This window comes from Homo sapiens, chromosome 8 (genome assembly GCF_000001405.40).
Source record: "Homo sapiens chromosome 8, GRCh38.p14 Primary Assembly".
Lineage (NCBI taxonomy): Eukaryota > Metazoa > Chordata > Mammalia > Primates > Hominidae > Homo > Homo sapiens.
In genome coordinates this window covers 117,450,435-117,466,965 of record NC_000008.11, presented here as the reverse complement: position 1 = coordinate 117,466,965, position 16,531 = coordinate 117,450,435, and the positions used below count along the sequence as shown (strand labels likewise).

Sequence of the window (16,531 nt, the reverse complement as noted above, 5' to 3'; positions counted from 1 at the left end):
ATAATTGTTGTTACGTTGATTTTTCTAAAACAGAGAGACTGTAGCATTACTGAATGCTTATAGTAAGCGTCCAGAAGGTAGAAAGAATTTAAGGATATTACCACAGTGTGGAGAAAGCACAGAGGCAGTTGGGCAGGGACACAGATGCCAGAGGCACAAGAAAACCTCAAAGGCCCAAAGTTGTGTGCGTGCACACACACATACACACACATGCACACACACCATCCGTGAGAAAGAAGTAGCTGGTGAAAGGCATTCTGCAGGACTCATTAGTCCTGCTGGATACCAAATGTGCCAGAGAGGTGCTAATTTCTTTATCTGCAATAGCTCAATCCCCATAGCACACTAGAATAGAAGCCCCATGAAAGCTAGGATTTTTCTACATATTGCTCTTTGCAGCATTTCCCAGTGCCTATGATGGTGATTGGCAGTTTATAGGCCCTTAATAAATATTTGCTAAGTAAGTAAATGAATTAGGTAGGTCTGGTTGTTTCAATTTTGCAGTTGAGGGAACTAGGAAATAGAAAGGTTAATTACTTTGCCTATTCACAAAGGCAATAACGAAAGATATCTGGATTTGTACACAATCAAGGATCTTGAACAACACGTTAAGTTGCCTTCCATTTTGAATCATATTGGATGAAGCAAACTTTTTTTAGAATTTTAATATTCCCACATACTATCCTCATTATGTGAAGAGATTCTGAAGTATTAGAATCAAGTTTATTAAAGTACTTAAAGAGTATTGATGTCTGTTTAACATGAGTTTGATTATGCAGAATGGGAAGCCATTACCAAGCTATCCAGGCCCTTCTTTTAGAAACAACCAGCAAATATAAGCCCTATTTTTTTTCTCTTTAAACCATGTACCATGAGCAAGCATCCCTTTGATTGCCATATGCTGTGTTGTGCTCACTGTGCATGTACTTTTTTTGTTTTCCTATTTCAGTCCCTCAAGATATCTTTGCCTTCCTCTCTTAACTTGTGCCAGTATTAATTATGATCTTTTCTCCTTCTTTTATCTTACTTCTGCCTCTGTCTCAACTACTGAATCCAAGCTTTCATCCAGCTTTTAAGGGAAACTAATATCTCATGAAATTGTGAGGGCCTGGAATCTTCAAAGAGCCAAGGATTCTGCCAGACTGAGCAATAGACTTGATGAGCATTCTCCACTTAAGATCTGAACTATGAGAAGTCGAATCAAAGCAGTTCTTTTGTAATTCCAAACAGCCATTTAGACATATGAAGAAATGAAAGTAAAGCAGTTCTAAAGACAAGGAAGAGGGTCAATGAAAGGTAAGAAATCCTGACAAAACAAGAAGAAAAGTATTTCCTTTGGTCATGGTGGGCTTGTTTCTAATGAGGAAGACTTGGGATTCTGAATATTATGTATAGCTTATTGAATAGTTATGTTTAGGTTAATTCTATAGTAAACTATATTAGTTCTCATTCTTGCATGTGAGTTCGATTCTCAAACAATCCTTGTTAATCTTAATAAAGGTACATTAGAGAACCTCTTCAGGAATTGTTGTACACAAAGATCTTTAAGAGGCTTGCCTCCAACAAGCTGCTGAAGTGAAGACACTTATAATTAGACCAGTGGGCGAAATAAATAGTATTCTTACAGATTTCTGTGTAAGAAAATCTTATTTCTATCTGGATGTATTTGGAAGTTCTATGGGCTACTTAAGACTTCCTTAGTCCTCTGCCTCTGAGTCTCTGAAAACAGACTCAGGCTTATTGGCTTAACACTGCTTTCCTGTAAACTTTTATTATGGAAATGCCTCTCATTCCTAAATATTATTATTGTGACTCTCATCTAATAAAGTTTTACAACGACAGGTCTTGGATCTTCTAGAAGAGAAAAAAATCTGTTTAATTCTCAAAAGTATATTGTTTCTTCCCAGTTACCGGAGTAGAATTTATAAAGTTTATAATTTGTGTGTCTCTGTGCTTCAATCCTCAGTTACCGAATGATCTCAGAAAAGAGTAAATTGCATTTCTAATTCGGAAATTTCAGACTGGTTAAATGCCTAGAGCTGTATTGAATGCTATCATATGACTTCTTCTCATGATTCTCTGATACAATTCAATGGCAATTTTTGCCCACTTACAATGGAAGTGGTATCATGCAGACTTGACAGAAGGGTGGTAGTTCAGAGTCTGATATCAGGTTTACCATGTATCTTTAGATAAGTGAATTAACCTCTCTGAGTCTATGCTTCTGTATTTAAAAATGAACACTTTGGGACAGGTAGCATTCATTTACTTCTTCAAACATTTATTGCATTCCTTCTGTGTTCTAGCTACTGCAGTTTTTGCTTGAGTTACAACATTGCACAAGATAGTGTTCCTGTCTTCATGGGCCATAGTGTAGATGACAAAGATAAACAACCAGACAATTATAAAACAGTGAAATAAACAATACCAGTGAAAGCATAAGTTCCAAGATAATGGGCTGTCAACTTTATCCATCCTCTAGATAGATTGTCAATTATTTGCATTTCTTTGAATTTGTCATGCAGACTTCATTGCCTCCATGTCTTTAAACATGTTCCCTCTGCCTAGAATAGTGTTTACCATGTTCTTTACCTAGCTAATGTCTACTTAGTCCTTAAGGTTCAGATCAAGTATTACTTCTCAGGGAAACCTTCGTTAACTCTTTGAGTCTGGTTTGTGTGGCCCTCCTTGAGTGCCTCTGGCCCTTATATGCATTCTTCAACAACAGTAGCTTGATTTTATTTGCTTACCAGTACTATTGTTAGGATGTAAACTCATACAGTGCAGGAATCCCATCTTTTATTTCTTTATTCCCAGAACATGGTCTAATGTTCGGTATACAGCAAATGTTCTATAAATATTTGTGGATTATTTGAATATCAAACATTTATTGAACACTTACTATGTGCCAGGTACTAAGACGGGATTCACTTTCATCACCTTATTTGCTTTAATTTTTACAATGCTCTTTATTACGGTGTGTATAGTATTCCTATCCCCCTTTAGAGATGGAGAAATGGAGATTCACAGAAGCTTGGTAATTTTCTCAAGGTTACATAGATGGACAAACCCAGAGTTTGAAGTTGGTTTTCCAGAGGATTTCCTCTTTATTCGAATACTACACTGTAAATCATGGGTTTTGTTGTTTTAACATATGTGTGTATGTGTGTGTGTGTTTACATGCATGTTCAAGGGGAAGTGGTTGTAAAGATGATCACCTTCTCTAAGAGGACATTCAAGGCTAATGGTTTTTGTGCCATATTTGTATAAACTGGTGTAAATCTACCCTTGGGTATTTTGGCTCATTAGTGGGAGAAACATTGAGCTTCTTCAAGTGAACAGATGTCTATGCATAGTTATATCTTTGAAGCAAGGTTATGGTAGGGCCTAATCTGCATACCTCTGTAATATATATATGAATGATAGAGATATATGTATATAGCTTATCAGGAAAAGTTTGTATATAAAATCTCCTAGGACATTATGGAGAAACAGAGAAGGAGTCTAGCTATCCAGGGCCTTGGGGGTATTAGGATTATAAACAGATATAGAGTTATATCATTTTAAAGAAAAGATTTGTAATTGTAAAAGACCCAAATACAAAATTTGGGAGATGAATAATACTGACCCCTACAAAACGTATGGAGGTAGTTGGGGAATGTTTTCTGCTGACCAGAGTAAAATCGTACCTTCACTTAAAATCAAAAGTCCTAAGTTCTCACTTGACTAGATTCTATAGAAGTCAGCTCAAATATTGAAACAATACATATTTTTCTTAATTTCAAAAGTTCTTGAACATAATCAGGTAGCTAGACAAAAATCTTAGCTCTTTCTAGCCAGACACAATGGCATAAAACACAGATACAGGCATTTCTACTCTAATGCCAATGTTTGCACTATTGAATAACCTTACATTCTGCAAAATTGGACACTGAAAATAATAAGGTCTATGGGAAAAATAAGGTGTGGAGAGATGACTCAAGACTGTGAAATTTGGAAAGTAGAGCACTAAAAACACTGAGACAATTACTATTTTAAAAAAGCTGGCATAGATAACCCTCTAATAGCATTGGCACGTGGCTTCAGAGATGATTGGTCATTAGCAATTTTAAAACGTGGGGCTTTTACTTGCTCCTTTGAAATGTAAAAATCGTCCTTCCAATATGGACCATTTTTATTAAAACTAAAAATCAGATCCAATGTGTAGCCTGTTTTGTTAATCCATTATTTTAATATGGGGATTAATGTCTGCAGCTTCTGAATCTGTGTTGGCACTTTCACCAGCAAGTTTAACAAAATTGAATATGTAGACATGTGCTTGAAGCACTAAAGAAAAGTGCCTTTGTAGATTTCTTAGCATTTTTCTTAAGATCATCGTGGGTTGCTATGCTTTTTCTTTATTTGCGACAAAGTTTGCCGTGGATAACTTTAAAACATTAAGCTACTGGGAAACAATATATAAGAACCAACAATACTTCTGTGTTATAAGAACATCTTTCCCTATTTACCAGTAATATATGGAGAAATTTACATAAAAGAACTGGCCTTTTTACAAGAAAAGATTCTCCTAATTCATGTGATATGTAAGGTTCCAACATCGTGTAATGAATGCTAGATTCATCTATATTAAAATCTGACTCATTGACTATTTTCAGAGCCTGCTTCATCTTAATCCATGCCAGTATTCTACGATAATAACACAGTAAACAAGCTTTTGCTTATAGACTAGCAGTATAGAGTAGCCATGTGTGGTGGAGGTGGATTTTAAGAAAGGATGAAATGGTACCTTGGGAAAGTAAAAAGAAACAAAAAGTACCTTTATTAGTCTAATAAATAGTTTTAACTGTGCTGCTAGATTTGTTTTACATCAAATAATCATTGACTTCAATGTTTCTGCTTCAATTAGATGGTCTTCCTTCTTCTTCTTTTCCTCTTTCCTTCTCTTTTTCCTTGTTTTGTCTCCTTCATTTTTAAAAATTTTTCACACATTTTATCTGTTTTTTTTTCTTTCTTCACGATACATTAGATATGTACTATTTAATTGTTAGATCCTAGAGATAAAATGGTGAACAAAAGCAGAGTTTGGAGTATTGTTGAGAGATTTAAACATACAATCCCACAAATACATGTTAGTAAACAAGACATAAGTCCAGTATTACCAAGGAGAGGAACTATACAAGCATGTAAGAGGGAAATATGTCTTAGATATGTTGCCCAGGCTTTCCTCAGGAAATAAACTTGGAAGAATGAGTGGGTTAACTAGGTGAAGATAGGAGGGAAGATCATTCCTGACAGGGAGAATTGTTTCTGCAAAAATCCTGCAGCTCAAGTAACCACAAAGCTTATGAAAGACTGAAGGAGGACCAGTGTGGTTGGATGAAGGAGCTAGGAAGGGTTTTGGCATAGAGCCAGATCATGCAGGGCATAGCTTGCCTGGGATGGGATAAAGATTCTCATCTTTAACTCTAGAGAGATAGAAATCATTGAAATGTTTTAAACCAGGAGATCTGTGATATGATCAGATTTGCATTTTGCAAATGTGTCTCTGTCCACAGTATAACAAGATTGATACATAATTCTGTGCTTATTGCAATTTTACATCTTTAAGGTATCCCTGCAAGGAAAGAGCAACCCTGATGTCTGCATTTCTTTTTCCATTTTGGAAATAGAGAGAATGAGGCTTATGAGAATGAAAATTATCCTTTGCTTGATCGAATCTGTTTTTTTCCTCATAATTCCTCTAAGGAATGTCAGTATCACAAGAGATGACATCATAGCTGTGAAACAAAGCATACAGGTAAAATAACCACATTTCTTTGAATAGAGGGGCCTCAGTCCCTCATTTTTTTGTACTCTCCATCTTGAAAACAGCTTCTATTCCCACCTGAGCTCTCATTTGTAAGCTACTTCTGTCTCAGTTTTGTTGGAGGTGTTTCTAGGTTTTTTTGCCACATTAAACATGTAATCTCCAGGATCTACCGTTGAAAAGTTTTAACAGATCACTGGAATTAGCAAAAGAAGAAAAGAAAAAGAAGTCAGATTTTTGGCAGGAGACTGTCTACCTGAGGACACATTGCCTCATTCCCTTGGCAACCATGCCTGTGATTAACAGTTTTCATAAATAATTCAAGTCTTCCATTTGCACTCTCTATAATCCCTCTTAGGGAGGGAACGGCACAGTATTTAGGGGTTTTTAGTTAAGCAAAGCCACACTCCCTGTGGCTCCTCCTCCTTCACTCAAACTGTTAACACTGTGAGATTAAGAGCTCCAGAAATGTGTTAGGTTTTGTGCAGAATTTAAAGGAAACACTGGATGTTTCTCAGTAAATTTTATGTCCAGTTTGCCACCCAAGCCTCTGCTCTGTACCTCCTTTAACAACGCATTCTTTCCTTTTAGAAAGTAGAGTTGCTCTTAACAACCAATGGTTTCTGTACATCTAATGAAAACAGGCCATTTTGTAAGTTCTGGCTGCCAGCAAGACTGCTTGAGGTGAAATTATGAGAGGTGGGGCCTGCACCAGAAGCAAGAAATTGAAGAAGAGGGCATCAGCTATAAATTTTTCGCTTGTCTAATGGACTGTATTTTTAGGGTCCCAAAGTGAAGTAGCTGGTGGGGAAGAATTTCATTATGACAAAAATGTGTGAAGCCAGAATTCTCCCTATTTTTTTGTCATAATCAAATCTTCAAAACTCCCAGATGATAAATGGGCTTCATGGAAATGTGTGTAGGGTCCAATCACTTTGAATCTGAAGTGCAATCACAGATCATCTCATGATTTAAACACACACACACACACACACACACACACACACAATTTATCAGGGCAAGGCTAAGACATTTCTATACTGCACACAAATGTGCATTCCTAGCATCAATCTTCTAACACTGAAATGTTCACTAAGCAACAAGTAATGAACTGACCTGGTGGAGAAATTTTGAAAAGTTATAGCTCCTCCACTAAGACATCCAATGACCTGGTAATAGAGACAGAAAGAAGAAAGACAGAATAGAGACAAGAAGATTGGCTGAAGGCAGAACAGCAAGAGAAAGTCCAAAAAAAATGAGAAATAATGAGAGAGAGGGAGAGAGAGAAAAAGAAACATGTTAAAGGGATGCTTCTTAAGGCAGCTAAGAGAGTGTGAGAGATTGAGACCTCGGAAGATTCTGGACAGGGAATCAACTAGGAGTGTTTATTACACTAGAGGCTGAATACATTATCCTTATTTGTGGCATATTATTTTTAATCTACTTCTAAATATGAATGTTTTAATCCTTTCTAGAATGAGATGAGGTGTAAGTAGATAATTAAAAACAGAACCAGAAATGACTTATGATGTTAAACTACAACAAAAAATAGAGGGAATTAAATAAGAGATTAAAAAAATAAAGAGATGTGAGAGGAGGCATTTGGGTGAGCTTCCTGTTATGAACTACATATTTAGCTTTGGACTCCATGTTATAAAAGGCACAGTGGGAGGTCATCTAGTATTGTCAAATTAAAACAACAAGAGCAACAACAACAACAACAGTAAGCATCTTAAAATTTTATCAAGAACATTAACACCTTTTTTTGGCACTAAAAAACAACTATATATATATGTAAGAGATAAAATAATGGAAAATATTTTATTGTGGTTTCCAAAAAAAGGAAGGAAGGAAGGAAGGAAGGAAGGTTCTTATAACAGTATTTTATGTTTATATAGTGGTTTGTAATATATCCCATACTTTTACTTTAATTATTTCACTTGAGCCTCTTAAATAATCCTATGACTTAGAAAAGGCACATACAATGATCACATAACAGATTAAAATTAAAAGCTTGAAAAGAAAATGCTATTAGTAAAATTGATGGACAATATACTAGAACCCAGGACTTCTGACCCCAATCCAATTCCATCTGCTTCCTTAAAAAAGCAAAATGTAAACTATTAAATCAATGATTTTACCTCTTGGATTGCCTCAGAATTAACCATGAACAGCTTTATTGAGGTATAATGGAAAATAAAAATTGTATATATTTAAGGTGTGCACTGTGATGATTTGATATACATACATATATTCACTAAATGAAATGATCACAATAAAGCTAATTAAAACATTCATCATTTCATGTGGTTTCCTTTTTGTGTGTGGTGAGAACATTTAAGATCTAATCTTGAGCAAGTTTCAGGTATACAATGCAGAACTGACAACTACAGCCACCATGCTGTACATGAGATCCCTAGAACTTTGTCATCTTATAACTGAAAGTTTGTACCCTTTGACCAATATCACCCTATTCCATGCACCTCCCACCTGGCTTTTGGCAACCACCATTCTAGACTTTGCGTTTATGAGTTTGACTTTTTTAGATTTCACATATAAATGATATTATACAATATTTGTCTTTCTGTCTCTGCTTATTTCATTTAGCATAATGTCCTCCAGATTCATTCATGTTGTTGCAAATGGTGGAGTTTCCTCCTTTTTTATGGCTGAATAATGGTTCATTACACCCACATACAGATATATAAATATATGATATCTATGCATCACATTTTCTTCATCCACCAATGGACACTTATGTTGTTTCTGTATCTTAGCTATTGTGAGTAATGCTGCAATGAACATGGGAGTGCAGATATCTCTTTAAGATGTTGACTTCATTTCTTTTGGACATACATCCAGAAGTTAGATTGCTGGATAATACTGTAGTTCTATTTGTAATTTTATGAGAGGCCTCCATGCTGTTCCATAATGACCGTGCTGATTTACATTCACACCAACAGTGTACAAGGGTTCTCTTTTTTCCAAACTCTCACTAACCCTTGTTAGCCCTTGTCTTTTTGATAGTAGTATCCTAACAGGTATGAGGTGATATCTCATTGTGGTTTTGATTTACATTTCTCTACTGATTAGTGATATTGACTACCTTTTCACTTACAAGTGTTGGACATTTGTGTATCTTCTTTGTAAAAAATGTTTATTGAAGTCCTTTGCCCATTTTTTAATAAAAATATTTCTTCTGTTTTTTGCTATTAAGTTATATAAGTTGCTCATATATTTTGAACATTAATTCTTTATCAAATATATGGTTGGCAAATATTTTCCTCCCATTCTGTGGGTTGCTTTTTCACTCTGTTGAATGCTTCCTTTGTTATGCAGAACCATTTAAGTTTGATGTATATAAAACTAAAATGCTTTTGGCATCATATCCAAGAAATCATTGCCAAGACCAATGTCATAAAAATTTCCCCTTTGTTTGCTTCTAGGAATTCCACACTCTCAGATCTTATATTTAAGTCTTTAAGCTATTCCAAGTTAGTTTTTTGTGTGTGGTATAAGATAAGGGTCCAAGTTCTTTCGTTTGCATGTCAATATTCAATTTTCTTAGCACTATTTTTGCAAGGGACTCTCCTTTTCCCATTGTGTACTTTGTAGATCAATGGACCATGCATGTCTCGATATATTTCTGGGCTCTCTCTTCTGTTCCATTGTTTTATATATATCTTTATACCGCTACCATATTGTTTTTATTACTGTAGCTTTATAATATATTTTGAAATCAATAAATGTGATGCTTCCATCTTTGTTCTTTGTCAAGATCACTTTGGCTATTCTGGGTCTTTTGTTGTTTCATATAAATTTTGGATTGTTTGTTCTATTTCTATAAAAAGTGTCACTGGGATTTTGATGGAAATAGGATAGAATCTGTATATATCTGTGGGTAATACAGACATTTTAACCATAGTAGGTCTTCCAATTTGTGTACATGGGATATCTTTCTATTTATTTGTATCTTCTTTAATTTCTTTCATCAGCATATTGTAGTTTTCACTGTAAGTCTTTTACCTCCTTGGTTAAGTTTATCCTTAGGTATTTTACAATTTTTGATACTATTATAAATATTCCATGGTGTATATGTGCCACATTTTCTTAATCCAGCCTATCATTGATGGACATTTGGGTTGGTTCCAAGCCTTTGCTATTGTGAATAGTGCCGCAATAAACATATGTGTGCATGTGTCTTTATAGCAGCATGATTTATAATCCTTTGGGTATATACCCAGTAATGGGATGGCTGGGTCAAATGGTATCTCTAGTTCTAGATCCTTGAGGAATCGCCACACTGTCTTCCACAATGGATGAACTACTTTACAGTCCCACCAACAGTGTAAAAGTTTCCTATTTCTCCACATCTTCTCCAGCACCTGTTGTTTCCTGACTTTTTAATGATCACCATTCTAACTGGTGTGAGTTGATATCTCATTGTGGTTTTGATTTGCATTTCTCTGATGGCCAGTGATGATGAGCATTTTTTCATATGTCTGTTGGCTGCATAAATGTCTTCTTTTAAGAAGTGTCTGTTCATATCCTTCACCCACTTTGTGATGGGATTGTTGTTTTTTTCTTGTAAATTTGTTTGAGTTCTTTGTAGATTCTGGATATTAGCCCTTTGTCAGATGACTAGATTGCAAAAATTTTCTCCCATTCTGTAGGTTGCCTGTTTACTCTGATGGTAGTTTCTTTTGCTGTGCAGAAGCTCTTTAGTTTAGATCCCATTTGTCAGTTTTGGCTTTTGTTGCCATTGCTTTTGGTGTTTTAGACATGAAATCCTTGCCCATGCCTATGTCCTGAATGGTATTGCCTAGGTTTTCTTCTAGGGTTTTTATGGTTTTAGGTCTAACATTTAAGTCTTTATTCCATCTTGAATTAATTTTTGTATAAGGTGTAAGGAAGGGATCCAGTTTCAGCTTTCTACATATGGCTAGCCAGTTTTCCCAGCACCATTTATTAAATAGGGAATCCTTTCCCCATTTCTTGTTTTTCTCAGGTTTGTCAAAGATCAGATAGTTGTAGATGTGTGGTATTATTTCTGAGGGTTCTGTTCTGTTCCATTGGTCTGTATCTCTGTTTTGGTACCAGTACCATGCTGTTTTGGTTACTATAGCCTTGTAGTATAGTTTGAAGTCAGGTAGTGTGATGCCTCCAGCTTTGTTCTTTTGGCTTAGGATTGTCTTAGCAATGCAGGCCCTTTTTTGGTTCCATATGAAGTTTAAAGTAGTTTTTTCCAATTCTGTGAAGAAAGTCATTGGTAGCTTGATGGGGATGGCATTGAATCTATAAATTACCTTGGGCAGTATGGCCATTTTCACGATATTGATTCTTCCTATCCATGAGCATGGAATATTCTTCCATTTGTTTGTGTCCTCTTTTATTTCGTTGAGCAGTGGTTTGTAGTTCTCCCTGAAGAGGTCCTTCACATCCCTTGTAAGTCAGATTCCTAGGTATTTTATTCTCTTTGAAGCAATTGTGAATGGGAGTTCACCATGATTTGGCTCTCTGTTTGTCTGTTATTGGTGTATAAGAATGCTTGTGATTTTTGCACATTGCTTTTGTATCCTGAGACTTTGCTGAAGTTGCTTATCAGCTTAAGGAGACTTTGGGCGAGACAATGGGGTATTCTAGATATATACAATCATGTCATCTGCAAACAGAGACAATTTGACTTCCTCTTTTTCTAATTGAATACCCTTTATTTCCTTCTCCTGCCTGATTGCCCTGGCCAGAACTTCCAACACTATGTTGAATAGGAGTGGTGAGGGAGGACATCCGTGTCTTGTGCCAGTTTTCAAAGGGAATGCTTCCAGTTTTTGTCCATTCAGTATGATATTGGCTGTGGGTTTGTCATAAATAGCTCTTATTATTTTGAGATACATCCCATCAATACCTAATTTATTGAGTTTTTAGCATGAAGGGCTGTTGAATTTTGTCAAAGGCCTTTTCTGCATCTATTGAGATAATCATGTGGTTTTTGGACAGTGCAGTTTTAATAGAGCTCAGTTATATTTACTTCTTTTGAAGAGGGTTCGGACTGTGTAATATCATTTTTTGCCATCAAAATAATACCCTGTATTTTATACATGGCATAGGATATACTCAATAATCCCTCTTCTGTGAACTTCTACAGCATCCCTTTTAACCATGCCTCACCTCACAGAGTGTCAGATTCACCCCCAAATTAGTAATACTATTTTTCTAACCCATGCCCTTCTTTTCTGACTCTTCTGTCTGACATATTTTTCTCCTTCATAGCCATTGGCAGATGGCCTCTCATCTTTCAGAATTTAGAACTCATGTCACCTCCCCTATGAACACTTTTCTGACATATCCCAGGATTAATTGCTTATTTTCTCCTTTGTGTCACACTGTAACCTTCTAGATTTCTATTATGCTACCTAGGATGCTTCATCACGTTTATTTGTTTTTCTGTTTATCTCTTTTCCTAATAGACTATAAATTCTTGAGAGAGACTTTGTTGACTTAATATTTTTTTCCCAGTAGTTAGGACAGCATCAAGTACAAAGTCAATCATCAATAAATGATACACGAATAGGAAATTTAGAAGGTAAAATTCTGTAACAACCCTCAACGACTCCCCTTCTTTGATATGCATTATTTTCCAGGCAGTTAGAGCTGATCCATCCTGCATAGTGTCATCTGCTTCTTGTATCTGTATTTAGAGGGAGCTACTTCTGATTCTTTGCCCTCAGTGGGCACGCAATCAAAGCTTACAGTCTACCGAATGAAACCACAATTGCACATTGAATTTCTTTCTCTGTTAATTTCAGACAACATGTCACGAAATGTCTGTCGTGAGAACATGCTGATTTATGTAGCAGTTCCTGAGGTCATGAAAATGAAAACTGGAGATTTAGCAGACCAGATTCTGGCATATATGACTTATGATTATTATGTTGGATTGGGTCAATTTCATCGCTATACTTCATCTTGTTAGTTACTAACAAATTGTCATAATAAAATTAACACATTTTAAAGTTTATAGGAAGACTTGAATTAAAATTTCTGAGTCTAATTCAATAATATTCCTCATGCTTCAGTGATACGACAATTCTTTGAGAAAATGGAGCCCTTCATTGAATGCTTCTTTATTCAATAAACCTGCAGAATAGTGTAAATATTCACCCTTTTCTGTTGTTCTCCATTTATTTTTATAAGTCTACTGAGAATAAATTTCTTTCAAGATAAAATTACTTTTATCTTTCTTTCAGTTTTTTTTCATTCTTACTTTCTATTGTCTTTGACTTTATTTTTGAAGGATATTTTATGGGTATAGACTTCTAAATTGGTAGCACTTTTTCTTTCTGCTGTTTAAAGAAATTTCTAAGTTTCTATGCAAAAATGTACTTTATTTTTACTATTGATCCTTTGAAGCTAGTACCCTTTTTGTTCTGGCTAAATTTGTTATTTGCTTTTTGTTGATAAATTACTTTGACTACATTGTGCCTAGATTTTTATTTTTATATTTTAAATCCTGCATAAAGTTTGCTAAATATCTTGAATTTATGGGTTATTGTCTTTTTTTATCATATTTGAAAAATTTTCAGCCAACTTTTATTCAAATAGAGGATATTTTTTCTTCTTCTAGGACTCTAATTACACATGTGTTAGGCCTTTTGAATGTGTCTCACATGTGTCTTACACAGTTTTCTGGTTCTTTTTTTCCTCTCTATTCTTCTGCTTGGATATTTTTCTACTGAACAGTTTTCTAATTCACTAATACTGTCTTCCACTGTGTCCAGTCCACTTTTTATTTATCCAATGAGTTTTAAATTTCAGATATTTTATTTTACAGATTTTTAATACCAGTTCGAGTCCTTTTTGTCTAATACCCCACTGAAATACTCCACTTTGTCCATCTCTTCTTCTGTATTATTTAAGATGTTAATCATAGTTATTTTAAAGACTTTATTCACTAACTTCAATGTCTGTAATATCTCTCAGTCTCTTCCATTGATTATTTAATCTCTTGATTACTAGTCACTGTATCATCCTCCTTTGCTGTCTGGTAAGTTTTATTTTATGTGCTGGACACTGTGGGTAATAAAGTCTCTAGATGTTGTTGTTATCCTCTAGTGAGAGTTAATGGAGTTAAATTTTGTTCTGATACATATTTAAATTACTGGAAGACCACTTGATTCTGATGAGGCTTGCTTCCAGAGTTTATTAGGATGGAACTATTGCAGTTTTGCCCTTCATGTCTGAGAGTGTCCCCTACTGCTGGCACATGGTCATTACTTCCAGAGTATGGCCATTCCAAGGTCTCAGCTGAAAGCCTGAGATGTTCCCAAAGGTCTCTGTACTCTTGTTGGGCCTCAGATCCAACATTTTCTTTTCTTTCTTCCTTTCTTTCTTTCTTTTTTATTTATTTATTTTTTTTGAGACAGAGTCTTGGACTGTCACCAAAGCTGGTGTGCAGTAGTGCCATCTCAGCTCACTGCAACCTCTGCCTCCCAGGTTCAAGTGATTCTCCTGCCTCAGCCTCCCAAGTACCTAGGATTACAGGTGCATGCCACCCCGCCCGGCTATTTTTTTGTATTTTTAGTGGAGATGGGGTTTCCCTATGTTGGACAGGCTGGTCTCCAACTTCTGACCTTGTGATCCGCCCGCCTTGGCCCCTCAAAGTGCTGGGATTACAGGTATGAACCACCCCGCCCAGCCTCCAACATTTTCTTAATACTCTGCAGGCTTGAAACCTTTGCTAAGCTGTTTAGCCTTCTAGTAGTTTTTCTCTGGTAGGCCATTTGAAATCTTGCCTTACAAGTTTGCATTTTAGAAGTTGGCCAAATGTCCTAGGGGAAATGGCTACATACATTTTGGTGCCTCTTGCTTTTGGGTCCTTCTTATATAATACCATATCTCGAAATCCAAGTGTCCTGGAAGCCCTAAACGTTTTAGTTGATCCAGCAAGACTGCCACTGTCTTTTAGGACTTTATTTCTCTTTGTCCTAGATTAGAAAATACTCTCAGGGTGAAAATCAGGGTAAATGTAGTACTCACCTTCATGTTTCCTTTCTTTCAATGGCCAGAGCCTAGGATTAATTGCTAAACAGTGTCTGAAAACACTTACTTTATATATTTTATCCACCTTTTATACCAATTTATGATAAGAAGAGGATAGGTTTGATACCAGATACTCAGCCATGACCAGAACCAAAGACCTCACCACTATTCCTTATTTTTATAGTCATCACTTTCCAATGCCACTGTCTCATGTTTTTGTTCCTATTTCTTAACCTTTTCTCCATTCCTCATGAGACTTAAATGCTTACTCTCAAGAGCAAAAGCATTATTTTTCATGAATAGGGGAACTTAAACAAGATATTTAAGTTTCTTGATTCTTAGTTTATTCATCTAAGATTATGGTCAAATTTTATTAGGCAATATTTTTTTTTTTTTTTTTTTTTTTTTTTGAGACGGAGTCTCGCTCTGTCGCCCAGGCCGGACTGCGGACTGCAGTGGCGCAATCTCGGCTCACTGCAAGCTCCGCTTCCCGGGTTCACGCCATTCTCCTGCCTCAGCCTCCCGAGTAGCTGGGACTACAGGCGCCCGCCACCGCGCCCGGCTAATTTTTTTTGTATTTTTTTTTTAGTAGAGACGGGGTTTCACCTTGTTAGCCAGGATGGTCTCGATCTCCTGACCTCATGATCCACCCGCCTCGGCCTCCCAAAGTGCTGGGATTACAGGTGTGAGCCACCGCGCCCGGCCTAGGCAATATTTAATAGGCAATGTTACTTACAGTGTGTTCCACAGGCTACCTATACCAGAGGAATCTGGAGAGGTTTGTTAAAAATAGAGATCCTTTAAATCCTTCCAGATCTACTTAATCAGAATCCTGACTGAATTGACTCTGGGGATCTGCCTTTTTACCAAGTTGCACAGAGGACCCTTGTGTAAAGTTTGAAAACAGTGTGATAAGGCCATCATGAAGATTAAATGAGCCATATTCTATGAAGCACCTGAAATGTAAGTGCTTAATAAATACTGGTATTTATTATACTATTTTCTATTCCATATATTTTAGAAAGATATTTTAAATAAATATGCCAATATGTGAAATATTTTGATCCTATTCAGAGACTATAATTAGATACAGTACACACACACACACACACACACACACACACATCTATATATGTAGTGCTTCTACTAACTAAAATACCACATGATCCAGGCTTTTTTTGTTATTTATTAGAACACTCAATAAAAAAGAAGTATATTTGATGTGAAATATAGAACTTAAAATCTTTCAGTAATCAGGATCCATCAAAATATTTCAGCCTTGTAAAATATGTGGAAAGGTTACTATTTCTTTTTTTCCCCAGAACTCTAAAAAGGAAACTAAAATTCAATAGGAACATACACAGTGTGTTTAAAAAGGGAGCCAAATACATTGCTATTCTGACTTGTGGTTTATCAAAGTGAATTCTAGTAAAAGAAGAAAATATCAGCGATTTTAAAGAGTGTTACGAGGTTCCAAATCCATAGTTCCCCCCAAAGTTAATTGTCTTAATTGTTATAAGTGATTTAGAGGTTTTAAACATTAATTAAAGTAAAGTAAAAATGAATAACCCTGTAAGTAATATCCTCCTTGGCTTAATGACATGCAGAATCAATTGTGTACAGCATTTAACATGCATTTTTGGAAAATTGGCTTCCTTTTTAGAGATGGCAGCCAAGACATAGCTG

General features: G+C 35.8%; 1 long non-coding RNA gene across 7 annotated transcripts in view; it reads left to right on the top strand.

The window, feature by feature from the left end:
• Positions 1-16,531, top strand: part of LOC105375716 (uncharacterized) — a 436,284-nt gene that overhangs the window by 53,755 nt on the left and 365,998 nt on the right. For 5 of the 7 annotated variants that reach the window (XR_928569.3, XR_928568.4, XR_928570.3 and 2 more), the window contains exon 3: positions 1,059-1,296. The exons of 1 other annotated variant lie outside the window; for it this stretch is intronic. This is a non-coding gene — a long non-coding RNA (uncharacterized LOC105375716). Of the gene's footprint in view, positions 1-1,058; positions 1,297-15,659; positions 15,809-16,531 lie in introns of all 7 variants that reach the window. One more of the 7 variants, XR_007061068.1, reaches the window with a different exon arrangement.